At 57.0% G+C, this 26,816-nt stretch overlaps 1 protein-coding gene across 2 annotated transcripts in view, besides 5 other annotated features; it reads left to right on the top strand.

The window, feature by feature from the left end:
* Positions 11,368–11,427: a silencer, noted in NCBI's record as "silent region_15208". NCBI's record gives its function as "represses an Ori minimal core promoter by ATAC-STARR-seq in GM12878 lymphoblastoid cells {active_cell/tissue: GM12878}" and the evidence as "EXISTENCE:reporter gene assay evidence [ECO:0000049][PMID:35858748]".
* LRPAP1 (LDL receptor related protein associated protein 1) overlaps positions 11,607–26,816 on the top strand; it is a 28,811-nt gene continuing 13,601 nt past the window's right edge. Inside the window, exons 1-5 of one of the 2 annotated variants that reach the window (NM_002337.4) lie at positions 11,607–11,820; positions 18,978–19,122; positions 23,836–23,957; positions 25,038–25,158; positions 25,837–25,995. In NM_002337.4, the coding sequence (NP_002328.1) occupies positions 11,617–11,820; positions 18,978–19,122; positions 23,836–23,957; positions 25,038–25,158; positions 25,837–25,995 (751 nt within the window). In that variant the 5' untranslated portion in view covers positions 11,607–11,616. Of the gene's footprint in view, positions 11,821–11,879; positions 12,047–18,977; positions 19,123–23,835; positions 23,958–25,037; positions 25,159–25,836; positions 25,996–26,816 lie in introns of those variants that run through there. The other variant, NR_110005.2, reaches the window with a different exon arrangement.
* Positions 11,618–11,827: an enhancer, noted in NCBI's record as "active region_21225". NCBI's record gives its function as "activates an Ori minimal core promoter by ATAC-STARR-seq in GM12878 lymphoblastoid cells {active_cell/tissue: GM12878}" and the evidence as "EXISTENCE:reporter gene assay evidence [ECO:0000049][PMID:35858748]".
* Positions 11,868–12,117: a silencer, noted in NCBI's record as "silent region_15207". NCBI's record gives its function as "represses an Ori minimal core promoter by ATAC-STARR-seq in GM12878 lymphoblastoid cells {active_cell/tissue: GM12878}" and the evidence as "EXISTENCE:reporter gene assay evidence [ECO:0000049][PMID:35858748]".
* Positions 14,985–15,874: an enhancer, noted in NCBI's record as "H3K4me1 hESC enhancer chr4:3529882-3530771 (GRCh37/hg19 assembly coordinates)". NCBI's record gives its function as "activates a minimal SCP1, AML or CMV promoter by ChIP-STARR-seq in naive H9 embryonic stem cells {active_cell/tissue: H9 hESC(naive)}" and the evidence as "EXISTENCE:reporter gene assay evidence [ECO:0000049][PMID:30033119]".
* Positions 15,875–16,765: an enhancer, noted in NCBI's record as "H3K4me1 hESC enhancer chr4:3528991-3529881 (GRCh37/hg19 assembly coordinates)". NCBI's record gives its function as "activates a minimal SCP1, AML or CMV promoter by ChIP-STARR-seq in naive H9 embryonic stem cells {active_cell/tissue: H9 hESC(naive)}" and the evidence as "EXISTENCE:reporter gene assay evidence [ECO:0000049][PMID:30033119]".

Raw genomic sequence — 26,816 nt, 5'->3', positions numbered from 1 at the left:
CAAGTAGCTGGGACCACAGGCATATGCCACCATGCCAGCCTTATTGTTAAATGTTTTTGGTAGATCCCATCTCCCTATGTTGCTCAGGCTGGTCTTGAACTCCTGGGCTCAAGCGTTCCTCACATCTCGGCCTCTTGAGTAGCTGAGACCACAAGTGTGTGCCACCGCACCTGGCCCCAGAGCCCCTTTTAAACTGCAACTCACAGTCTCCAAGTTAGACTCACAGAGAGAAGATCTAAATATGTGTCTCCTTGAGGGAGGCTGAGGAGTGGAGGAGGATGAACTCTTACAAAACGTCAACCTTTTTAAAAATGTGTTTTCAGTAATTGCTGTTCTGCGCCAAGTTTTATCCTAGTGGGAGTTTCATGTCGGAATTACTAAGTAGGAGTTCATAACAGACAAGTTAATCGCCCTTGTGTAGGGGCGAGGCACCGAGCAATGATCTCTGTACCCAGGTAGGTGCTTCCTGGATCCACACAAGCACAGGAGATGGCAGGTGGGGAGTGGGTGGGGGGTTATGAAGGGCAGCCGAGGAGGGGCAGGGGGCAGGGGGAAGCAGGATCTCTGATGGTAGAAGGGAGTGGTCACTACGTCCCCAACACACCCCCTTCATGTCCCCGCTATAGCCACACACCACGGGGGAAAGGCTACAGGCCAGCCCCCATCCCCTCAGGACCATGATGCGGGCATCTGCAGAAACGGGTGGGGGCTGTCTGGCCTGAGAGGCCTAGAGCCAGGAAGAGGTGGTTTAGAGCTGCCCTCCTCCTCCAACCTCAGCCCCAACCCCCTTCCTCAGCAGCAGATCCCACCTGAGTCTCTCCTAGGCCTGTTCTGGATCCGAAGTGGGTATGAGATATTCACCATCTATTCCTTTGCTCCACCATCACCAGAGGCTTTGTGGTACCTTATTTTTGAGAAGAGGCAACATATTCTAGGACTAGGCTGGGAACAAGGGAGAAATTCATCATGCATCCATCCATCCATCCATCATCCATCCCTCCATCCATCCATCCATCCATCCATCCATCATCCATTCTCCCACCTACCCACTCATTCCCCATCCAGCTACCCACTCATCCATCCATCCATTTGTCCATTCACCTACCAATCCATTTATCTATCCATCCATCCCCATCCATCCATCCATCCATCCATCCATCCATCATCCATTCTCCCACCTACCCACTCATTCCCCATCCAGCTACCCACTCATCCATCCATCCATTTGTCCATTCACCTACCAATCCATTTATCTATCCATCCATCCCCATCCATCCATCCATCCATCCATCCATCCATCATCCATTCTCCCACCTACCCACTCATTCCCCATCCAGCTACCCACTCATCCATCCATCCATTTGTCCATTCACCTACCAATCCATTTATCTATCCATCCATCCCCATCCATCCATCCATCCATCCATCCATCATCCATTCTCCCACCTACCCACTCATTCCCCATCCAGCTACCCACTCATCCATCCATCCATTTGTCCATTCACCTACCAATCCATTTATCTATCCATCCATCCCCATCCATCCATCCATCCATCCATCCATCATCCATTCTCCCACCTACCCACTCATTCCCCATCCAGCTACCCACTCATCCATCCATCCATTTGTCCATTCACCTACCAATCCATTTATCTATCCATCCATCCCCATCCATCCATCCATCCATCCATCCATCCATCCGTCATCCATTCTCCCACCTACCCACTCATTCCCCATCCAGCTACCCACTCATCCATCCATCCATTTGTCCATTCACCTACCAATCCATTTATCTATCCATCCATCCCCATCCATCCATTCATCAATCATTATCGATCCATCTATCCACTCATCCATCTATCCACCTACCAATCCATTCATTATCCATTCATCCCTGTCCATCCATCCATGTATCTACCTATCAATCCATTCATTATCCATCCACCTACCAATCCATTCATTATCCATCTACCCCATCCATCCATTCACCTACCAATTCTTATATTATCCATCCATCCCCATCCATCCATCCATCCACCCACTCATCCACCTATCAATTCATTCATTATCAATCCCTCTCCATCCATCCACCCACCCACTCATCCATTCATCATCCATCTATCCCCATCTACCCATCCACCTACCCATCCATCCATCCACCCATCCATCCATCCACCCACCCACCCACCTATCAATTCATTCATTATCAATCCATCCCCATCCATCTACCCATCCACCCACTCATCCATTCATCATCTATTCCCATCCATCCATCCACTTACCCATCCATCCATCCACCCCATCTACCCATCCATCTATCCACCCCATCTACCCATCCATCCATCCACCCATCCACCTACCAATGCATTCATTATCCATCTATCCACCCACCCACCCATCCATTCATCATCCATCTATCCCCATCCATCCATCAACCCACCCACCCATTCAGCATCCATCTATTCCCATCCATCCATCCACCCACTCAACCACCCATCCACCCATCCATCCATCCACCCACCCATCCACTTACCAATTCATTCATTATCCATCCATCCCCATCCATCTATCCCCCCACTCATCCATCCATCCACTCATCATCCATCTATCTCCATCCATCCATCTGTCCCCACCCATCCACCTACCCATCTACCCACTCATCATCCATCTGCCTACCCATCCAGCCACCCATCCATTCTTCATCTGGATGGACAAATCTTCATTGAGCACCAATTCTGTGCTGGGCAACAGGAGACAGAGATGCAGGAAACACAATCTCTGCTCTCAGAGAACATGCTTTCCAGGGACAAGAAGACATGGATAGAAGCACCAGGTGAAGATGCTAGGACATGGCTGATCTGTGGTCCATATCCTGTTGGGGAAAACTGGGGGCCTGGGGATGTTGGTCTAATGAAGAGAAGACTTGGAGGAACTGGCATATGCTGCTGAGAATGTTTGGTGCCCACCATAATACCTGGGAGGGGGGAGGGAGGACAGAGGGGTGACCACAGTGAAAATGTGGAGGGATCAGTGGAGTGTAAGCCCAGCCATTGAAGGAATGTTTAGGTGAGGCACTGCAGAAGTCAGCTGGACACAATCAGGAGTGTAAGTGTTAAAGAAAGAGGAAAGAAACACAAAACGCAGCCTTGGGGCTGACATATCTCTGGCCGGAGGGGAGGTTATCTCGGGGCTGGCATGCCTCTGGTGAGGGAGGGGTTTGGAATGTTTCTGGTCTGAGATGTTATTTGTGGTTTTTGGTCATGCTGACCTTAGCCATTAGGCTGATGCCCTTTGGATTTAGGCGGTTTTTGATCAGGGTGAACTTAAAATGGCAGTGCTTGTCCAAGATGGCAATACTCCTGCTGCTGGTTGGCCACTCGGAATTGTCTTCGTGGAGAGAGAAGACTTTATGGTTATGGGCCACAATATCTAGGGTGTGGCCATGGGAGAGGAGGGCTGGGGTAGTTTTGAGGTCAAGACCATGAAAGGAGAGCAGGCCAGGGTTTTGCAGGGATCACCCCCTGGAAACGGAAATCACCAAAAGTTATAAGAGGAGGAGGAGTGCTGGAGAGCGATGCGGTCCTTGAGGGGCAAGCGGGTGTCCATCTCCAGTTACAGCACAGTCAAGGGGATGCTCAAAGTGTCGACAAAAAAGAGTCAAACTCTGTAAAATATTTGAAGAGAGTTATTCTGAACCAAACCTGAGTGATCATGGCCCATGATGCAGCCCCCGGGAGGTCCTGAGAACATATGTCCAAGGTGGTCAGGGTGCAACTTCATTTTACACATTTTAGGGAGACATGAGACCTCAATCTAATACATTTAAGAAATAAATTGGTTCAGAAAAGCAAGAGAGCTAGAAGGCGGGGGGTGGGGGGGGGACTTCCAGGCTATAGGCAGATTTAAAAATTTTCTGGGTGACAATTGGTTGAGTTGATTTAAAGACCTGGGATCAATAGAAAGAAAATGTTTGGGTTAAGATAAAGGATTGTGGAAACCAAAGTTCTTATTTGCAGAGGAAGCCTTCAGGTGGCAGGCTTCAGAGAGAATAGACTGTAAAATATTTCTTATCAGACTAAAGTGTGTTGATGTTAATGCTGGAGCGATAATCATGCAAGTCCGATCCCCACTTCCCATCATGGCCTGAACCAGTCTTTCAGATTACATTTTAAGAGTGCCCTGGGGAAAGAAAATTGGAAAGGCTCCTCCTCTCCCTCTCCCTCCTCTCCCTCTCCCTCCTCTCCCTCTCCCTCTCCCTCTCCCTCCTCTCCCTCTCCCTCTCCCTCTCCCCACGGTCTCCCTCTCCCCACGGTCTCCCTCTGCCTCTTTCCACGGTCTCCCCCTGATGCTGAGCCAAAGCTGGACTGTACTGCTGCCATCTCGGCTCACTGCAACCTCCCTGCCTGATTCTCCTGCCTCAGCCTGACGAGTGCCTGCGATTGCAGGCGCGCGCCGCCACGCCTGACTGGTTTTCGTATTTTTTTGGTGGAGACGGGGTTTCGCTGTGTTGGCCGGGCTGGTCTCCAGCTCCTAACCGCAAGTGATCCACCAGCCTCGGCCTCCCGAGGTGCCGGGATGGCAGACGGAGTCGCGTTCACTCAGTGCTCAATGGTGCCCAGGCTGGAGTGCAGTGGCGTGATCTCCGCTCGCTACAACCTCCACTTCCCAGCTGCCTGCCTTGGCCCCGCAAAGTGCCGAGATTGCAGCCTCTGCCCGGCCGCCACCCCGTCTGGGAAGTGAGGAGCGTCTCTGCCTGGCCGCCCATCGTCTGGGATGTGAGGAGCCTCTCTGCCTGGCCGCCCAGCCTGGAAAGTGAGGAGCGTCACTGCCCGGCCGCCATCCCATCTAGGAAGTGAGGAGCGTCTCTGCCAGGCCGCCCATCGTCTGAGATGTGGGGAGCTCCTCTGCCCTGCCGCCCTGTCTGGGATGTGAGGAGCGTCTCTGCCCGGCCGCCCCTACTGGGAAGTGAGGAGTCCCTCTGCCCGGCCAGCCGCCCCGTCCGGGAAGGAGGTGGGGGGGTCAGCCCCCCGCCCAGCCAGCTGCCCCGTCTGGGAGGTGAGGGGCGCCTCTGCCCAGCCGCCCCTACTGGGAAGAGAGGAGCCCCTCTGCCTGGCCAGCTGCCCCATCCGGGAGGGAGGTGGGGGAGTCAGCCCCTGGCCCGGCCAGCCGCCCCATCCGGGAGGGAGGCGGGGAGGTCAGCCCCCCGCCCGGCCAGCCGCCCTGTCCGGGAGGGAGGCGGGGGGGCCAGCACCCCGCCCAGCCAGCCGCCCCATCTGGGAGGTGAGGGGCGCCTCTGCCTGGCTGCCCCTACTGGGAAATGAGGAGCCCCTCTGCCCGGCCAGCTGCCCCGTCCAGGAGGTGAGGGGCACCTCTGCCCAGCCGCCCCTACTGGGAAGAGAGGAGCCCCTCTGCCCGGCCAGCTGCCCCATCCGGGAGGGAGGTGGGGGGGTCAGCCCCCCACCCGGCCAGCTGCCCCATCCGGGAGGGAGGCGGGGAGGTCAGCCCCCCACCCGGCCAGCCACCGCGTCCGGGAGGGAGGCGGGGGGGTCAGCCCCCCGCCCGGCCAGCCACCCTGTCCAGGAGGTGAGGGGCACCTCTGCCCAGCCGCCCCTACTGGGAAGTGAGGAGCCCATCTGCCCGGCCACCACCCCGTCTGGGAGGTGTACTCAACAGCTCATTGAGAACGGGCCATGATGACAATGGCGGTTTTGTGGAATAGAAAGGGGGGAAAGGTGGGGAAAAGATTGAGAAATCGGATGGTTGCCATGTCTGTGTAGAAAGAGGTAGACATGGGAGACTTTTCATTTTGTTCTGCACTAAGAAAAATTCTTCTGCCTTGGGATCCTGTTGATCTGTGACCTTACCCCCAACCCTGTGCTCTCTGAAACATGTGCTGTGTCCCCTCAGGGTTGAATGGATTAAGGGTGGTGCAAGATGTGCTTTGTTAAACAGATGCTTGAAGGCAGCATGCTCGTTAAGAGTCATCACCACTCCCTAATCTCAAGTACCCAGGGACACAAACACTGCGGAAGGCCGCAGGGTCCTCTGCCTAGGAAAACCAGAGACCTTTGTTCACTTATCTGCTGACCTTCCCTCCACTATTGTCCTGTGACCCTGCCAAATCCCCCTCTGCGAGAAACACCCAAGAATGATCAATAAAAAAAAAAAAAAAAAAAAAAAAAAAAAGAAAGTTGGAAAGGCTTCAGGATTGTCAGTTAAATATAATTGTTTTTGCCTGGGTCTACTGACAGACAGGTTTACATCGTCTCTATTACTTTTCTTTTTCTTTTTTTTTTTTTTTAAATTTGTTTTTTGTTTTTGAGCTGGAGTTTTGCTCTCATTGCCCAGGCTGGAGTGCAGTGGTGAGATCTCAGCTCACCACAACTTCCGTCTCCCAGGTTCAAGTGATTCTCCTGCCTCAGCCTTCCGAATAGCTAAACTACATGTGTATGCCACCATACTTGGCTAATTGTTGTATTTGCAGTAGAAACAGGATTTCACCATGTTGGCCAGGCTGGTCTCGAACTCCTGACCTCAATTGATCTGCCCACCTTGGCCTCCCAAAGTGCTGGGATTACAGGCATGGGCCACCGTGCCCAGCCTATTACATGTTTTAAGGTCATAAAACTGCTACTTCTGGAATATTTCTTAAACTTGCTTGATTTGTCTAAATTGAGCTAAAGCTGTAAGGTCTGGCTGCTGGGCTCCCTGAAACCTTGCACATATCTTACTGTATGACTGTATTTCGTTTTGAGTCTCTGGATTCTGGGGTTTGGACAGATGACCATAGTGAGGCCTGCAGAAATATGCATGTCCTCAGTGATTGGACTGCCAGCTGCAAGGCAGAGCCAAACCCAATATGGCCCCATCATCCCTGGCTCAGCTGTGCTACCTGGCCATGCTGGAAGGGGTTTGATCTTCCAGGAATTTGCTTCACAGCTCTTTCCTGTCCCAAGATCTATGCCTGATGTGTAAATTCAGGACCCAAAAGGGCACAAAAAAGCAATAACTACTAAATATAAGGAAAACAACTCTGTATACAGCATGTATAAAGAAAAGCAAGATATATTTGGGGAGATAAAAGTTGTAAAGGCATTAAGATGTGTGTTTGTTGAGAAAAAATAAATTTGTGCATTTAAGAAGTTAAAAAAAAAAAAAAAAAAAAAAAAGAGTGCCCTGGCAGAGGAGGAAGTCCATTCAGATGGCTGGGGGGCCCTCAGAATTTTATTTTTGGTTTACAAAAAGTTTAGGATATGGGGGACGTTGCTCATGGCTGGTCAGGAGCTCGAGAGTGGAAGGGTTTGAGGGAACTGGGGATGGGGGAAGGGGTCTGAGAAGGGGATTTACAGAGCTGTCTGGGGCAAGGGGTGGCCTGGGGGGACTCGAACTTTCCATACAGAGGGAGAAGCAGCATAATGAGCTTCATCCTGGGGTCTACAGTGGCAGACAGTGGGGAAAGCAGTGACAGGGAGTTTGCCAGCAGAGGAGGCAGCTGAGGGTGTCTTACTCAAAGACCCTCCCTGAATGCTGGGAGCTGGGAAGGGGTTGGTTTTGCCCAAGCACATGGGGTCTCACTTGTCTTCAGGCAATGGTGGCTGCCTGAGGATAGCGGAGGCTCATTGCCCTAGGCCAAGTGGGAAAACTGCCTCACCCAGAAGGTCACACCCTCCCCCACAACCCAGTGCCTGATTGATGAGGGGAGGGAGAGGAGACACAAAATGGTCCTGGCCTCAAGGCAGGGACAGCCGTGAGGTGCAGTGCTCCCGAGCTCCCCTTCATCCAACCAGGCTGAAGCAGTCACAGCCTTGCTCAGCTCTCTGCACCGGCTCTCTACCCCCACTCTCCTTTCCTAGGAGCACCCCTCCATAATCACCTCCACAGGAATTCCATCTCAGCTCTGCTTCCAGGAAACCTGACCCAAGACAGAGGTTGTTGCAAGGGCAGAGGCCACAGGCATCTACACCAGCCTCTGTGCGTTCAGTCTGTGAGCGGCCCAACGCTGCCCATGTGCTCCTCCTTAAAGCCTACTCAACCCTGGGGTCTACAGGCAAATTCCTCGCGGGCACCTTCCCTTGTCCTGGCTGCCGCTCTGCTTCCTTTGCAAGCTCCTTCTCGCACCCTTGCGCTGGCTCCCTCCAGAGGGCTCCATCCCCTGCCCACTGTGCCTTCGTGGGTGGTGCCCAGATCTCTGTCTCCTCTGCCCTGGACCCCTCTGCCCCTGACTGGCAGATCTATAGAGTTCAGTGCCCCTGGAGGGCTCCACGTCCATCCCACAGGGACCCGGACTCTCATCTTCCTCCTGAGCGTGCTCTCCCTGGAGACCTGGCATTGGAATTCGCCCTGCCACCTTCTGGTCTCCCCAAGTGGAAACCTGGGCGTCAGTCTGGACGCTTGTCACCAAATTCTGTCCCTTCCACCTTCACATGGCCTCTCCATCTTCACTGCCTCCGTGTCTCTATCTCATCCCGATCACCTTCGCCTCTCCTCTGGCGGAGAGCACCAGCATTCCCACTGGTCTCTGCTTTTCCTCAAACGCATCTCTGTGTAACTCTCCCCTCAGGATCACTCTGTGGCCCCCATTGCTCTGGGTGGAATCTTCCTTCCAGTGGCGTTTCAGTCCCCTGGGTCTGCCTCACTCTTCACCACCGTCTTGTGCTTCTGCACTGAGCTCCAGCCAGACCACCTGCCTGCAGCCACCTGGCGCTACCTGTTCCCGTGTGCTTCCTGCCTTTGCCTGGAGAGAATAACAATCTATAGTCCAAACTCAAGGACAAAAACAAACTGCTTTTTGGCCGTGGTGGCATGAAACCCCAATAAGTCAATGACAATGCTGCATGCTTCTGAAAGCCGGCCAGTCAGGGACAGCCCCACACTACAGAACAGGCCCAGGCAGCAAGAACCTTGTGCCCCTGAAGTCAGGCTGAACACTCTCACTTCTGAAAGCTGGACAATCCTCAATGCCAGGCTTCCCAAGAGACTCAATTTGTTTTGCTCTGAGAGATGGTCCTATAAGCACAGTTCCCCTTTTCTCTCGTAAGCAAGATACTCAGCTTCAGCACTGACCAGCCTCACAATCCGTCCTCACCAAGTGGAGGGCCCTCCCTCCGGGTTCCTCCACGGCCGTATCTGTCTCTGTTCATACACCTTCCCCTCAGCACTTAGAGACACGGGCTGGCATGGCGGGTGCTGGCGGCAGGGGTGAGAAATAAACTTTCAGCCCTAGAGGAGGAGCCCAAGAGGAGAGCATGCCGTCACCTGGAGTCTCTGGTATGTGCCTGGCACCTGTACTGATTGCATTAACCACTGTGATTTTTTAGAAGATGTACTAGTTTGAAATGTATAATACATACGGAGAAGTGTATGAAATATGTACAATTTAAAGATAAGGAAAAATGCATGCCTGTGTGCCCACCACCTAGTGAAGAACTACAACCTGGACACCACTTTGGAAGCCTGTCTGTGTTCACCCGTCGCATTCTCCCTCCTCCCCCAGCCCAGGTATCCTCCATCCTTTAGCCATCCCCTGACTTTCTTTAGTTTCATTGCCTGTGTATGCAGCCACGAATAAAATATTGCTTAGTTATCTGGGAAACCGGGCTGTATAGGAAAAGGGCTCTTAGAACCCCACACCACTGTCAGATGCAGGATCCCAGAAGACTCTGCTCCCAGTCCAGCTTCCAATTCCTGTGGGTTTATAACGGGCCTTTCTAGAGACACTGGGGGCAGGATTCACAGAGCTGGAACATTTGCAGTTAGGACCACATTCCAGATGACCAACAGGGACATGCTTGGGGGGGATAGGCCAATTTGGACTATCCCCTTCTAAGCCCACCAAGACCTACCTGTAGCTCTCAGGAGTGGGGTCAGGGCAAAACATGTATGTGGGGTAAAACAGGTGACCTCTGATTCTAGGCACCAGGAGATGGAGAGAAGAGCAGGAACGAGGGAACACAAGGGGAAGGCAGGCACAGGTGAGAATCTAGGCCAGGCTCACCTGGCCATTCTGTCCTGAGGCTTAAAAACATGCAATGATGGCAATGACAGCATTTGATCTGTCTCTGGAGTCACTTCGCATGAGGTCATTCTCCCTCCACCACCCTCCTGGGGGATTCCTTTACCTCCTCTCCCCCATACATCCCATATTGGGAACTTGTGCTTCCAGCTAAGATGCAGTAACAGACTGAATTTACCCTCTTGCCTGAAACAACTCAACAGCTGGAAAAAAAGAAATGAAACGATGGCTCTGAAAATACTAGAAAAGCAGCACAGGACAGAAGCAGATCACCTTGATTCCAGGGACCTGAAATCTTCTCTGGAACAACACAAGATACAATTTAAATGTAAATTAGGGTAGGCCCAGTGGCCCACGCCTGTAATCCCAGCACTTTGGGGGACCAAGACGGGAGGGTTGCTTGAGCCCAGGAGTTGGAGAACAGCCTGGACAACATAGGGAGACCTAATTTCTACCAAAAAATTTCAAAAATTAGCTGGGCGTGGTGACACGCACCTATAGTTCCAGCTACTTGGGAGGCTGAGGCAGGAGGATCGCTTTAGCCCAGGAGGTCGAGGCTGCAGTGAGCCATGATCATGCCACTGCACTCCAGCCTCGATGACAGAGACCCTATCCCCCCACGCAAAAAAAGGAAATGAATTAACATTAATTCCTCTCAAGATGCCCAGGCTCTATTCACCCCCTTTGTCATTGTCCCTCCAGTTGGAAATTCCTCCCTCCCCCCGCAAAATCCCGCCCACCCTTGGAGGCCTTTTCAGATCATTCTTGCCAGATGAGCTCCCCTTGTCCCTTCTCTGAGCCCAAAGGGGCCCAGCTGCTGTCTGTCTCCCTCCTTCCCCTTGTTTCCCGCGCTACCTCCAGGGCACTTCCCAACTCACTGGCCAAGCCCCCAACGAGCGGTCTATGCTAACTTTGGCTCTGTGAATTTCCTAGAGTGTCATGGGTTGGGGAAAAGCGCGCGAAGTCCTGCCTTGCAGCAGGCGCGAGAGCAGGCGCTTGGGACGCGGGTTGGGGCAGGGGCCCCGGGACGTAGGGGGACGTCTGCGCGGCCCTGCGTCCCCGGGACAACCTGGCCTGGGCTTACCCACGGCCAGGCGCTCCGCGGAGGGCAGAAGCGGGCTGGGCCAGGCTCCTCAGCGCCAGGCCCGGGCCGCAGTGCCAACCCCGCAACGGCACTGGACATGCAAGAGTCGGCGTCAGTGCGCGTGAAGCCGGAGCATTATCAGGCTCAGCCAAACGCGGCCCGGTTCTTGGGCTTTCCGCTCTTTCTGTGGGGCAGAGAGGGAAAGAGGCCTCGAGTCGTGCGGGCTCCAGGCTCCGGGCTCTGGGTGAGGCCTGATCCCTGCTCCCACCCGGCCACCCTCATTCTCCAGTTGTATCCCCTGCCAGAGTCTGCAGCCTCGGGCCGCGGCGTGGTTGCCTGGGAAACGCTTGCGCCTGCGCAGGGCTTCCTAGGCGCTGGAGTCCGCCGGCGGCCTCGCCGCTGCCGGCCGCTCACGGAGGAACTACAATTCCCAGGAGACCGCGCGGTGGGTGGGGGCGGGGTAGTGGGCGGGGCATCGGCAGGCTAGGTTTTCTCCGCGCAGCGCCAGTCGCAGAGGAAGATGGCGCCGCGGAGGGTCAGGTCGTTTCTGCGCGGGCTCCCGGCGCTGCTACTGCTGCTGCTCTTCCTCGGGCCCTGGCCCGCTGCGAGCCACGGCGGCAAGTACTCGCGGGAGAAGAACCAGCCCAAGCCGTCCCCGAAACGCGAGTCCGGAGAGGAGTTCCGCATGGAGAAGTTGAACCAGCTGTGGGAGAAGGCCCAGCGAGTGAGCGCGGCCCGCGGTCGGTGGAGCGGGGCCTGGGGGCGGGGGCCGTGGTTGGGGTCGTTGGAGCGGGGCCCAGGGGTCGGAGGCGGAGGGGGGCGCAGCCGGGGCACCTGTGCCCTACGCGCCCTGTCCTTGGCACAGCCTCCCCCAAGTGTCAGGTGGGGCGCCCCGACCCCTTCTGCAGCAGGAAAGGTACCCGTGCCGGCGACGACGCCGTGTGAAGCAGGTGGCGGCCGGCACCCCGAGGGTCAGTGTCGCCCTCCCCAGCCTGGGCGGCCTGCTGACCCGAGCGTAGGGACAGAACCAGGCTAGATCACAGGTCTCCTGCCTCCCGAGCCTTTGCCTGTTCCCTCAACCTTATCTCCCTATGTGGGGAAACAAGAAAAACAAAATGTTGGGTAGAAAGACGTGTCCAGGGACAGAAGGAATCCCAGTAGCAAGCCCGTGCTTGTTCATTTGAGCGAGAAATGAGGAGGTGAGGAGATGGGATCGGTTTAGAGCACATAAAACGCGACCTTGGGAATGCTGAAAGTCAGTCTTAACAGGGCGCTCACCTGACCTCTCCTTCATTTGAGAGATGAGGGTACGGAGGCCCCGAGGGGAAAGGGCACCCCCAAGGTGGCTCGGCCGGTGGGGCCCCCCGGGACAACAGCTTCCTAATTGGTGCGTGACCCTGGGCCAGCTGCTCTCTTCATTAAGATACGGTTGCTTCATTTGTTAGGTGTTCCTGAAAACACCTGAAATGGGTGTTTTCGAACTATGCCGACCATCTGGGCCTCATTATCTCATCTCAAATGCAGGAGTCAGATTAGATCTCTGTCTCAATAGTCCAGTTTTAAGCATTCCTGAGTCTTTGAGAGGGAAAGTAAGTGATTTGCAGAATAAGAAGGAACTTTTGGAACGAAAAGGGAGAGGAGAAACAGGTGGGGGACAGACAGACGACAGACGGTTATAAGACTGCGTGGGGATGGGGATTGACGCCTGGGCATCAGCTCCACAGGCCCTTCCTGAACTGCTCCTGGGACCAGCAGTCAAGCCCCAGGCGTAATGTTCAGCCTGCGGAGGTGGGAGGTGGGAGAACGCTCTGGGCTGGAGCGGCAGGGCGGCTTCTTGGAGGAAGGGATTCTGGAGGGGCTGGGGACACGGCTGGGTTTGGATGTGTTGATGGCCTCCCAGCAGCAGGGAACAGGTGTGACCAGGAGCAGCCGGGATGCAGTGCTGCCTCCCCGTGCCCACTGCACTGGGCATCTGTTGAGTGGGTGGAGTCCCCCCTCCCCATGAGGAATGGGGAGCCCGAAATAGACTCCCTGACCGATTGGAGGTGGCGCTGAGGAAGTGCACTCGGACCCAGGAACCCCAGCGGCTCCCTTTTGGGTGCTGGCCCAAGTCTTCCACCTGCTCTGCAGGGCCGCCCTGGTGCGCTCCACCTTACCTCCAGCCACCTCCAGCTGGTCCTCTGTCTTTGTCAGCCCAGGCCTCCTGCAGCAATACACCTGCCCTCAGGCTGCCCCTGCACTGGTCCAGCTACCCTCGGGCTGCCCCTGCACTGTCCCCCGGTGCTGGGTGCTCGCCTGACCAGTTTCAGTCTTGGGTTGGGTCATGTCTCCTAAACCTCCCTGAGGTTCACTGGGCACCATGGTAGGGCGAGCTGCTCACCTCCACTTTGGACTGAGCCTTGGACTAGATGATCTTTCTGGTCCCTTTAAGTCCTGAAGTTCTAGTTGTGTGGGCAAGTCTTTTTTGCTGAACAGAACGTGAAGTTCTTCGGGGGTGAGGGTGTTTTGGGGGATTTTGTGTGTCTTCCCCCATTCCAGAGAGCCTGGTACTATGGCAGGCAGGCCTGCAGAGCCCATTCGTCCTGATTTTCCTTCCAGATAACGGAAGCTTGGAGGGTGGCGGTGCTGTGAGGGTGTTCTATCCTGGAGCCAAGTGTGCAGGCGTCAGACCCGTCCGGGTCTTTTTGAGGTTCTCAGTGGCGGTAGTGCATCCCGGGTGGTCTTTGTGCTGTGGCTCTTTCTGCCGAGCGTGCCAGGGCCCAGGGTGGTCAGGAGGCAGGAGGAGCCACAGTCAGTTCAAACGTAGGGGGAGAGAATTGTTCGTGCAAATAGTCACTCCAGTCGGCTTCTTACCCCACCTGACTCGCCGCTCTAGGTAGGTATCAGACGGAGACGGGGTCTTGGATCGCCCCCTGGAAGATAATTGAGGTGAGGGCTGCTTTTTCAGAGAAGCACTTCCTGCCCGGCTCTGCAGCCACTGCTCTCAGCCTCCTGCGACCTGCGCTCAGCAGCCAGGACGGTCTTGTCCTTTCTTTGGTTTGCTTCATGAAAACATCGTGTCCCTGTTTTCTGCATGTAAAGCCACATCCTGGCATATAGGATTGCGTAGTGTGTCAGTAGGCATAGGGTGAAGGGAGCGTTTCAGGAAACCTTTGCCTTTGATGGGCTTGGGCTGTGAGACCTGCGTTGAGGTTGCCGCCAAGAAGATGCTGAGACCCGCTTTCATCAGGCGAGACCCGGCCAGGGGGGTGCTGCTTCATCCTCTCCAGCAACTTGAATCTTGACTTTCTGTGACTCTCCCAGTTCCTCTTTCACAGGCGGGCTCCACTGTGTTGCAAGACTCCTGAGCAGAGGCTGTCCCTGGAGCTTTGGAGGTCAGAGGCCATGCAGAGCCCTTGTGCTCACAGACGACTTCTGAGGACTCTGCCTCTTCAGAGCTCTGTGTGTTGTGTTGATGCTGAGGAGTAAGCTCCAGGGTCTGCATGGTCCAGCTGCGGCGCTCAGGGACACACTCGTGTACCTCTTGGCCTGGGCTGCACGGTGCCATGAGCTCGGAGTCCTTGGCCATAGGTCCTTAGTTTTTTTGGTTTTTTGTTTTTTTGTTTTTTTTGAGACAGAGTCTCACTCTGTCGCCGAGGCTGGGGTGCAGTGGCGTGATCTCGGCTCACTGCAACCTCCGCCTCCCAGGTTCAAGCGATTCTCGTGCCTCAGCCTCCTGAGTAGCTGGGATTACAGGCATGCACCACCATGCCTGGCTAATTTTTATATTTTTAGTAGAGACGGGGTTTCACCATGTTGGCCAGGCTGGTCTCGAACTCCTGGGCTCAAGTGATCCTCCCGCCTCTGCCTCCTAAAGTGTTGGGATTACAGGTGTAGTCCCAGGAGGCACCGCACGCAGACAGTCCTTAGTTCTGACGTGAATGGTGACTGCAATGAGAGTGTGTGAAGCATCTTGTTCTCAGAGGTCTGACGAGTGGAAACTGAGGTCTGCAGAGAGGAGCCCTCAGAGCCCCACCCCAGCTCTCAAGCGTCCCCCCTGGCTTGAGAAGGGCCTCTGAGGATGGGCCAGCCAGTGGCCTCCATGGGCACCTAGGACTCGCCAGGCCAATGCATGACCTCACAGCAGCTCAAGGCGGGTACGGCTGTGCCCTTGTCCACGGAGCTCAGGTGGAAGGAGCTGGGGCACAGTGGCTGGGCTGGGACAGTGCATGCCACCTGCCGTGGTGAGACAGGTACAGCGTGCCAGGAAGCCTTGGTCACCGCCACAGCCTGCTCCTCATGGTGGGTGCCTTGCAGTCTGGCGCGGGCACTCAGGTGAGCGCTGGGAGGATGGCACATGCCCTCTGAAGAGGTGGTCCATTGGCGGTCCTGGTGGCATTGGAACCTGCCCAGCCTGAACTGTGCGGTGTGTGCAGGTTGACACCAGTGGTGTAGCTGTGGACCCTGGCCTGGGTTTCCTGGGGCGTTGAGAAGCAGCAGCAGGTTATTGGAAAGTTCCAGAAAGCTCTGCTGGCACGCGGGTGGTGCTGTGTGGGGAAGGGCCACTGCTGAGGTCCCAAGCAGTGCTGGGCCCTTGGGTCTGGTCAGGAGGACACGGTCGGCTCTGCTTGTGTCTGGGGACACAGGACCGGCGTCGTTTGATCAGCTGAGCCGGCTTTCTTGCCTGCATGTATACCCTGGTTGTTGATGATTTGCCTCGCTGCTTCATGTTTGACAGGTTCTTTTCTGCAGTTGGTTTCCACAGGGTACTTCTAACTTGATGCGTTAACATTTAACTTGAGAGAGGTGAAAGAATCCAGACGTGGGGTCTGGGGTCTGCACGTGACCTGCTGGTCTTCCTCTGCACAGAGCTGGGGCTGCTTTTTGTGGTGGTGCTGCCAGGCTGGCCCCTTCTGCGCTGAGCACTGGCAGCCACACATCAGGGGAAAGGGAGCTGGCTTTTGTGAGACATGCGGTGTGAAATTTAGACCCCCTGTTGCCTGAGAGTTGGGGAATCAGAGGGAGAAAATGACTTTCCCCTGTGGGTTGCAGATTTTACAGCCCACAGAGCACCTGCCCTTGATTCTCCCAGCACCCTAGGGAGGCAGACAGGAAGCCAGTGAGGACTGCAAGTTACAGGGGTTGGTGCCTGGCTGTGAGCCTGCCAGGATGGGCCCAGGACTTCAGCAGCCCTGGGTCTTCAGCTCCGCTTTCCAGCAGGCAGCCCATGGGCAGTCATGGGACACCTGCATCCTCTCCCCTGCAGCCAAAGAGGGCAGACCCGGGGCCCCTCAAGGCCAGCACACACTTGAGAGCATGGGCCTGAATTGCCTGCCCCAGGGTGCTGCTTCTGGCTCAGACCATCACTGTGGGCCTCGCATCTCAGACCCTCCCGGGCAGTGCAGCACGGTAAGTAAGGCGCCTACAGGGTAGCAGCAGCCACGGGGAAGTAGAGATGGAAGCAGACCTGTTCCTCCAGGAGTTTGGGTCACAAACAAGATAGGCAGGTGTGGGCTCCCCCTCCTCCTGAGGCACCGACTGCCCCTCCTGAGAGTTCAGCGTCACTCAGGTGCCTCATTGTCCTGGGTCCTCCTGCTGGGAATGCTCAGATCAGACCTCAGGTCTCCTAGGGCCTTCCAGTGGACGCCGCAGGCAAGTGTCCAGGGCACAGAGGGGCACGGGGTGGAGCTCTGGGGAGAAGGGGCTGGGTGGATGGGGCTGGCTGGGTGGATGGGGCTGGCTGGGGAAGAGGCACACAGGTAGGGGTGTGTCGAAGGCTGCCAGGGAAAGGGTTTTCAGGTTGGGACAATCCTGGAAAGCAGCCCCTGCAGAGATGGGGGCGCAGAGCATCTACCAGGAGGGCCCAGACAAAAGACTGTCCTGGGACCACCCACTAAGGGTTAGAGAACCTTCTAGAGAATTAGAAGCTTTCCTCTGCCCTAGGCCCTGCCATTCATTTTGTGCCTACCGTTTGCTATCTTTTTACCATTGGGGATCTTGGCTCAGTAATCTGAATTCATCCCTAACTAAATTTTAAACTCCTGGAGGGTGGGGCCTGTGTGGCTAGGGCAGCCACAGAGTCAGGCTGGGCTTCTGAGAGAAGAGAGGGCGGAGCTGACAGCCCCAGCACCCAGCTGGAGACAGGGCCTGTGGTCAGGGGTCTCCTTCCTCCCAGGCCCAACACAGACTGAGCTGCAGGGAGCAGGATGGGCTCAGTCTAGATACAGGCAGAGTGAGGCGAGGAGGTTCCGGAGTGTGGGGTGTGCCAAACACACAGAATTGGCTTCGTGCGAGTCTTGAAAGAAACGTGTGCCCCTGCGCGGCGCGGACCTGAGGGCTGGGCCTCCTGAGGTCTCGGGCTGCAAGGCAGTGTGGGCCACAAGGCGGCGCGGGCTGCGGGACACTGGGAAGGCAGCCGGCTCTTGACGCTTCGTGGGGATGTTCACTGTTTTACGTAAACTTTATTGAAATATAACACACATACTTTGGATACTAGCTTGTGTTGTATTTATGTTAGAAAATAGCTAATGAAATATAGATAAAAGATTAATATTTCAAACGTCTAAGGGAAAACAGACTCCATATTTAAACACACATGATCAGAGACAGGCGTTAGGTGATGGGCACCTGGAGCTCAGAGGCAGGAGCTGGGGTTCCCTCCTAGAGCCACGGGCAGCTCATGAGGACCAGCCCCGGGGGAATGTGAGAATGCAGGTGCTCAGGGAAGGGGACCCTCCTGAGAGCCGAGAGATTTGGGGATCTGCACTGCACAGTGCCGAGCACTTCCTTTGCTGCAGGACTCCACAGAGGCTTTAATGCGCTGGCGTCACTACAGGCATGCGGTGCAGCCTCCCCAGTTAGCCAGGGACAGCACCCTGTCTCCGTGAACCCTGGTCCCACCTCATGACACGTTCTGGTTCACACAGCTGGGCCACTCTGCTCTGCACGGAAGAGCCTTCGCTTCCCTGAAGGGCTAGCCTGCCCCAGCGCACGCCTCTTAGCGGCCGGGCCAGCCCCGAGGCCAGAGTTGATGAGAGCTGGCCGGTGGGTTTCATTCTGCTGCTTGCCTCGGCCGCCTGGCATTCTGGCCCAGTCTTTCTGACGTGGGGACACTCTTGGCCTAAATCCTGTCTTTGCAACCAAAAAGCAGTGTGCCCAGCGGTCACCTCACTTGCTTCCTTCTCTCACCCAGGGTCCCAGAGCTGGGAGGGCAGGGGTGGGATGAATGAAGCGTGGCCTGCCCTGCGGAGAGGGATGAGGGTGGGGCGGGGAAGTTCCTCAGCCCCAGTGCGGCAGCTCGTTCCGGGGCGCTGCCTGTGTGGTCTACGCCAGCAGGTAAGTGAGAGGGTGACAGATTCCTGCTCCAGAAGGATCTGGGGCTGTGTAAGAACCGTCTCAGCAAGACAGTTCGGATCATGGTACACTTGAGAGGTGGTGACTGAGGGTCTTTGGGAAATGAAGATGGGGCAGATCTGAGATTACAGTGATTTTTTTTAAAAAAGAACTTCTAGGTGTCTGTGTCCTTGCAATATGTATCTGCAATGGTAATGCAGTGGGTATCTTCTTCCTGCTCTGTTTATCCGAGTGCCCGATGACTGTCCTCAGGTGCTAGGGTGGGGTGTCCTGTTACAGCCGGACAGGAATGAGCAGCCGCTGCTGGTGGGGAGCCCCCGATGGACTTGGGGTTTCCGGATCGTGTATACAGACAGGCCTAGAGACTGGTGTCCATGTTGAGTTCTTGTCTAAACCTGTGGGGTTTGAATCCTGCTGACAGTGACCCTGACTCCACCTCTTCCTGGTCTCCCAGAACCTCCCGGTGGCCAGCCTCCTCCGAGGTCAGTTTCTCGCTGTGTCCTGGTCCGTCCTGCTCGTGGCTCACAGGCTCCTCCCCTTCGTTCGCAGCTGCATCTTCCTCCCGTGAGGCTGGCCGAGCTCCACGCTGATCTGAAGATACAGGAGAGGGACGAACTCGCCTGGAAGAAACTAAAGCTTGACGGCTTGGACGAAGATGGGGAGAAGGAAGCGAGACTCATACGCAACCTCAATGGTACGTTTGTTTCTTTCCTAATGCAGGTCGAGTATCCCTCTTCCTAAATGCTTGAGAGCGGCAGTGTTTTGGATGTCGGATTTTGTTTTTGGATTTGGGAATATTTGCATTATGCTTAATCTGGATATCCAAAATGAGCCTTTCCCCGAGCATCCTGAGTGCCCAGAAAGCTTAGGATTTGTGTTGGGGGCTCACCCTCATGAGGGAGGTGGCCACTGGCTTCAGTGTTTGGGGGGGCTAACCCTCATGAGGGATGGTGGCTGCTCGCCTCAGTGCTGTGGGCTACGCCTCTGACTCCTTGGCTTTTGGCCAAGGGGCCCATTGGGCACAGCCTGCGGGGGGCTATCCTCCGAGCACAGATGCGCCCTTGGCCGTGGTCTCAGTTTGCTGTCACAGATGCCATTGGCACGCCAGAGGGAGGGCCAAGGCAGGGGCTCTGGGTGCAGGAAGGGGCCGGAGGACAGCAGGAGGCTCTGTCACCCAGAGGAGGAAGCAGGTCTGCCCTAGCATCTTGAAGTTTTGGGGACATACTCCAGATGTCATCAGAATGGACACTTGGTTGTCATGCGCTTAGTGAGTCCTCGTCCCTGTGGGTATTCAAGAAGAGGCAGGACAGTCGCCTGCTTGGTACCAGCATACGGAAGACAGGTGTGTCCTCAGAGCCGGGAGGGTTTTAAATGACAGAGTTGCGACTGTTCCTTTTGGACCCCTCTCCTCCGCCATCCTCCCTCACCACGGGCCCGTCGGCAGGGCACTGGCGGGCAGAGGACGCACACCAGGTGGGCCCGTGGGACTGGGGTTGGGGCTGCTCCGGAGAGTCGAGTGCTCAGCTGCCTGCTGTCAGCTATGTGTAGCAGCCCTAGGAGCTGCTGTGCCTCCACCCAACTGCTGCCCCTGGGCCTGACCCCAGGCACCCCTTCCCCAATCCCCTCCCCCGCTGCTCCCTGTGTGACCTGGGCCCCCGGCACAGTCCCCTGCCCCCCACCTCCGTTTCCTCCTCCTGTCTCACAGGACGGTGGTGTGAACCAAGTGGGATACTCCCCACTGTGGTGGGGGTGGGGGTGGCTGCCATCGCACTTGTTGCTGTCGTGAGGGTGGCCCCAGAGCCCTGGCCATGTCTGGAGTCTGCTGTAGCCCTGCTTTTCACACGCGCTGATGGCCTCAGGCATTGCAGCGCCCGGGTTGTCTCTGGTAAAGAGAGGAGGTGTCTACGGAGTTCCTTCGTTAGGCCTGATGCTCTAACACCTACTCCTCAAAACTCGTTGTCGTCCCATTTGACAGGCTCAGAGAGGGTGATTTGTCTGGAGTTGCAGAGCCGAGTAGTGCAGCAAAGATTTGGAGTCAGGGTTTTCTGACTCCTGAGCAGGTGGTCTGTTCCCAGCCACCCCTCTTCTCCCATTGGCAGGCATCAGCAGACATGTCATGTGGCTGCGCCCGGGTTAAAGACAGAGGGCCGGCTTCATTTTTGCTGGTTTATGCCACCATGTTCAAGAGTCTGGTTGAGACGTAAGCCAAGATACGGCGGCAGGGACTGCCTGGGGAAGAGAGACATGGCTGAAACAATTCTGGATGGTTGCGTCCCCACCAGCGTGTCTAGTGGGCCATTCCCAAGGGCCAAGAAAGAGCCTGTCCTGGAGGTGCCCCCAGGAAGAAGGGACTGGCTATGCAGCAGGGCAGCATTCGGGGCCTGGAGGAGACAGAGTAGCTTGCAGGGGGCACAGAAGTGGGCTAAGAACCAGCTCCCTCCTGCAGGCCAGGCAGTGTCCTTGCAGGGTGTCCAGGTCTGTGGCCCAAGTGGAGCTGTCTTGTTTTCTGCCATTGCCTAGTGACCTGGCAGAAAACTTAGTGGGACTCTAGGAGCCGGCGTCCCAGAAGCAGACCCTGCCCACACTCAGGAAAGAGGCTCGTCCTGGCCAGTTCCCCGCCATCTTCTGGGTGTGGTCCCTGGACCCCCGAGGTCCCCCGTGCCATTATCAAGTGTGATACCATACCTGGGGGACCAGCCATAGCCAGGTGTGCCTGCCCTTGGCACCCTCCATGCTGAGGTCCACCCTGAGACAGACGGGCCACGCTCCACTCTGCCCTGCCCTGCTCTGCTCTGGGGTTCGCTCCTGTCCTCACCCCCACCGCGCCCCCAGGGCCACTTCACTCCCCAGGCAGGGAGTGTGGGGCGGCGTCCGTCCTCCCCAGGCAGGGGGTGTGGGGCGGCGTCTGTCCTCCCCAGGCAGGGGGTGTGGGGCGGCGTCCGTCCTCCCCAGGCAGGGGGTGTGGGGCGGCGTCTGTCCTCCCCAGGCAGGGGGTGTGGGGCGGCGTCCGACTTCCCCAGGCAGGGAGTGTGGGGTGGCGTCTGTCCTCCCCGGGCAGGGCGTGTGGGATGACGTCCGTCCTCCCCAGGCAGGGAGTGTGGGGCCGTGTTCATCCTCCCCAGGAGCTCTAAGGGCTCGGTGCTCCTGAGGCCGCCTCCAGCTTCAGTGCTCTGTGACTCCATTCCATGCAGAAGAACCCAGCACCTCCAGAATCCAGAACCTTCCATAGTCCCTGCTGCTGATCGCAGCCGTGGGTACTCTGCCTTTTGATGGGGTCTGACCAGCCACTTTGGGCTCTGGCTCAGAGCTTTTGGCTCCAACTAGGAAGGCTTGAGCCAGGCTAGCCTCAGAGCCCCAGGACATGGCCCACCCTCCCCGTCTCCCCCTCTCCTCCTCTCGGGCTCAGGGGTGCACGGCCTGGGGGTGGGACCTCAGTGCTGCTGAGCAGTGGCTGGACTTGGGGGTCTGGGCAGGACGGCCTTCACAGGCAGGCCTGGCACTGGCTTTCTAAGGCCAGGAGGCATCCAGGCCACTTTTTTAAAAAGTTTGTGTATTTTTGTATGTATTTATTTCATTTATTTTCTCATCCCCCACAGCCGGTATTATTTATTTAATTATTTATTTATTTTAAAAGATGGGGTCTCACTTTGCTGCCCTGGCTGGTCTTGAACACCTGGGTTCAGACGGCCCTCCTGCCTTGGCCTCCCAAAGTGCTGGGATCACAGGCATGAGCCACCGCGCCCGGCCTAAAATAGTTATTTCAGGTATAAATTCCCTGCCATGGAAGACAGGCCCAGCATGTGGTTGAGCTTTGAAGCATGCATCTACGGGACCCGTGCCCAGCGCCAGCAGCTCTTGACTGCTGTCAGGAGAGACGGCTTTCCTCAGGGACAAGACCACAGGCTGGTTTTTCACGCTTAGGAAGATCACAAGCGCTTCCAGGCTGGAACACAAGAAGCACATGCTGCGTGTGGCCTTGAGACCCCCATGGCCCAGGCTTCCGGACAGAGTGAGACAGGAGGGATCAGAGGCCAGGGTGGTGTCGATGAGAAAGGAGGCCTGAGGCTTTCAGGGTGTCCCTCGAGCAGGGACACTCCCCAGGGCTGGCAGTGACAGAGGATGGACCTTTGGGAGAGGTGCGGGGGTGGGGCCTGCTGAGCCCAGAGCATGTGGAGGCCCCGCTGGGAGTAGTTCTGTCCAGTAGGGTCACGGGTGAAGGCCCAGAGGAGGCGCTGGGGTCCGGGAGTCACCATCTGGGTGAAGAGGTCCTCGGGGTGAGGGGAAGTGTGAGGCGAAGGGAGGCTCCGAGCCCAGCATCTTGGGAGAGGCCTACTCGGGGCCCTCTCGGCCCGGAGGGGAAGGCAGGACCCCATTCTGTGGGAGGCGGGGCCCTGGGAGAATTCCCCCAGCCCCCAGGAAAGGGCGGGCAGGCAAGCCCACCGCCCGCTAAGGAGGCGGGTGTGGTTGCATGGGCCCCGGATTCCAGGGGACCTAGTAGAGGGCCTGTCACACAGAGCCACAGCACAGGACTTGGAAGTGGGAATTGGGGCCTGGGGAGAGCTACTGCCGTGGAGGGCGAGGCCAGCCCCCAGGCTCTGCTCTCACATCCCAAGTGCAGGACTTGTCCTGTTGGCACCAGGGCCCGCGTCGAGCGCCTGCTTTCATATCATGTTGGTGGCAGCGTGTGGTGACAGACACAGCCCACAGATGCCGAGTCCCCCCTAGGGAAGCGGGGCTAGGGGAGCACCACGTGGGCAGATCCTAGAGGGCTCCCCGAGTGGCTGGGCCACAGCACACTGCAGACTATTTATTCCTCCTGGCTGCTACCAGTAACTTTTTGTTAGAAGCTGCTGACACTGACGTTTCTCCTTTAGAAACTGTTTTTCCTCCCAATAAATATAAGATGTGTGCTGTCAGAAAGCCCTGCCACCCTGCACAGTCTGCAGGTGGCCTCTGTCCTGTGGTCCTTAGAGTTTTTGCCCTATGGCAGCAGGTGAGGCTGCAAATTTTGTTCTTGAAAATCTGTGCAGCTGGTCGCTAAAGACGGGCCAATCGGTAACCACTCTTACAGCCCAGCCCACCAGCTGCTTTCGACAGCTGCGTCTCAGGGGGACACAGCTTGATGGAGGACTCCAGCCGGCGTGTCCCTGGTAGGAAAGAGGGAGGTCCTGGGGGTGTCCCGTGAGTCGCCAGACCCGTTCCTAAGTGCTGGGAGACCACAGACCCCACGCTTGTTTACATTCTTGTTCTCCCCAGATCTCCAGTGGTCATCCAGGAAACAGGTGAAAGGAAACTACTGGAAAATGAGAGGCAAACCTGTCTCACCCACCGTGGCAACCCAGATGTGTTGGCTTTTGACTGTTTTTCACAGGAAACCATATCAAATAGAACCTCCCCTCTCTCCTAGTCATCTTGGCCAAGTATGGTCTGGACGGAAAGAAGGACGCTCGGCAGGTGACCAGCAACTCCCTCAGTGGCACCCAGGAAGACGGGCTGGATGACCCCAGGCTGGAAAAGCTGTGGCACAAGGTACTCTTCGATTGTTTGCATACCTTGCAGAATTGGTGCCGTTACGTTGAGTGTTAAGGCGGGGGCTGTGAGGGGCAGTCTCTGCTCTGCATGGGAGCCGGGGTTTGGGAAAGTCTCAGGAAGACGGTGGCTTCCTAAGGAAGCCATTCCACTGTCATTCTGTGAATCTTTTCAGCTTTCCTGTTTAGAAGATTCCTTGCTCTTTGAGTAAAGGAGCTCTGTTTGGCCTTTGGCCTGCAGCTGTCAGACCTTCAGCTCAGGTCACGTGTGGTTACGGGATGGTGACGTAGCATGGGCTGCGTTCTTTACTCCGTGTCGGATTTTTAATGTAGTGAGTGGTGCCGTGGACGTGCCTCTGTGATTAGAAAGGTGCCCTCGTGTGTGGGGCTGGGCTTTCACCCTGTGCCTGGGAAGGGTGCGGGGCCAGGCGCTGGGACCCAGCAGGGCCTGGTGGGCTGTGGCAGGGTGTTTACCTGCCGCAGCTCCCCCATTTCCAGCGGCTCCTGCTCCAGAACAGTTTCTCTGGATCACATTGATTTGGGGTCAACAGTTAGACTTCTTGTACTAGCCCAGTCTCAGCTCAATGTCCTTGGCCAGGAGAGATGGAGTCGGTAGAAGGGGGCAGAGAGGGAGAGAGGGCCCTGTGTGGCCTCCCTGGACGTGTGTGAGCCACGTCATCTCACAACCAGGAGGCAGGTGGGATGACAATGAGGGGCTGGCAGAGGTCCCCCTAGGAAGGTGGCCTTGCTGTCCTCACCACCTGCAGCCGGGAGAGCCAGGCAAGCCCGGGGTCACCGGGCTGCTGCCCTGTCCCCCTCCTTGGGATCTTCTGCTCCCCACCCCAGCCAGCTCGGTAGCTGTCCCCTGTTGAGCCTGGACACGTCCAAGAGAAGGGTGGTTGCCTGCCGGCAGCTCTTCTCCGGTTTGTTTTTTGTTTTCCTGCCCTTCGTGAGGCCAAGAACCTGGCCTGGCACTCACGTAGGCAAGGGCCTGCCTGGCCATGAGGAGTGGTTGGCTGAAGAGCGGCCCTGGCCACACGAGCCCGCGGCGGGTTCACTCCAGGCCTTGTTTCCCTCTTAGGCGAAGACCTCTGGGAAATTCTCCGGCGAAGAACTGGACAAGCTCTGGCGGGAGTTCCTGCATCACAAAGAGAAAGTTCACGAGTACAACGTCCTGCTGGAGACCCTGAGCAGGACCGAAGGTGCCCCCCGCCCCCACCCCCTCCTGCCCTCTGCCCCACCCCCTCCTGCCCCCCACCCCTCCTGCACCTGAGGCTCGTTGTGCTCAGTGGGCAGCCTCAGCTCCCCTCAGGAACACAGCAGGGGCAGGGAGGCGGCACCAGACGCCCTCCCAGGGTTCCACCGGACTTGTGAGTGGGGAGGTTGCTGTGCAGGCAGGCTCTGGGAGTCGCCTGCCTGCATTGGATGAACCAAGTCTCACCGGCGCCTGCCCCCACTATGGGCACAGCTGCTGCCTTTGTCAGACCTGAGCTTCGCTGATGGGTCCTTCATTCTGGACTCGTGACCCTCCCCAAATGTGTGACTTTCCCACCCCACAAAGCTGGAGTAAAATGGAGGGTGACCCAGCAGAGAGGGGGCAGGGCAGGGGTCCAGAGTCAGCCCCCAGGGGACCTGGTGCCCCAGCTGTCACCGCCAGGCGCCACTTGGTGCGCGTGTCCCGGCGTCTCGCCTGTCTCGCCTGGAAAGGAAGCTGTGCCAACGGTCGTTTCTGCGGCGCTGCAGGACCGCGGAAGGGGGACATTTTCAGCCCAGAAATGAGAGCGAGTTTGAGCTCCCCAGCAGTGGGCGTTCTAGACAGTGGTCTGGGCAGGCAGTGCGAGGACTCCCAGCCTCATGGCGTCCTGCCTTCGGTTTTACAGAAATCCACGAGAACGTCATTAGCCCCTCGGACCTGAGCGACATCAAGGGCAGCGTCCTGCACAGCAGGCACACGGAGCTGAAGGAGAAGCTGCGCAGCATCAACCAGGGCCTGGACCGCCTGCGCAGGGTCAGCCACCAGGGCTACAGCACTGAGGCTGGTGAGTGCCCGCCCGGGACTGTTGGTTCCCGAGGGTGGGGCCGTCTCTGGTTGTGTTTTGGGGACAAGCAGGCAGGTGCTTGTAGCGACGGGAACCTGGGCCTGTGGACGCAGCGGAGACCCTCGGCGCGCTCAGTCTACCCACGGGTGGTCACAGGCCTCGCTCCCAGGAGCTGCTCCGTGAAGGTCACTCGCCGTCCCCAGCCTTGTACCTGGAGACTAGCAGAGGGCAGTGGCGGCAGCGGGCCTGGGAGCAGCCCTTCCCAGCGTCTCCCCAGCCTCAGCAGCACGGCCCCTCCCGTGCTGCTGTTGGCCAAGAACAGAGACCACTCGTCAAACATAGCTCCGTCTCCATCTCATGCCACCCACACCGTCCATCAGTCCCCCTCAGCCCGGCAGGGGCAGGACGCCCGCTGAGGCCACAGAGCTTGTGGCTCCGTCTCAGCAGCTCATCTCCCTCCACTGCAGGCCCTCAGTGGCCAGGCTCTGCACCACTGCTTCTTGCCCCGTACCCGGGCCAGAGCCTTGTGCAGGGTGTACCAGAAGCCTGCTGGCCTCACTCACGCAGCTTCCGATTCTGTACCTCATCCTCCACGTGCACACTGAGCACCAGCTGCACGCCAGGCACTGCTCTAGGCTCGAGGAGACAGCAGCCGCCAGGAGATGGCATCTGTGCCCTCATGGTGATAAGACAGCAGGGCTGGTCTCTGTCCCCGGTGCCAGGCAGAGCCACCGCCTCGTCTCCAGGATGGTCTGCCCAGAGGCAGCCTCCAGCACAGCAGTCAAATGTGTCCACGCGGGCCCAGGTCCCCTTGGGTGGCT

This window comes from Homo sapiens, chromosome 4 (genome assembly GCF_000001405.40).
Source record: "Homo sapiens chromosome 4, GRCh38.p14 Primary Assembly".
NCBI classification, from domain to species: domain Eukaryota; kingdom Metazoa; phylum Chordata; class Mammalia; order Primates; family Hominidae; genus Homo; species Homo sapiens.
Note: the sequence above shows the minus strand (reverse complement) of the source record. Positions and strands in the feature narration are given on the sequence as shown.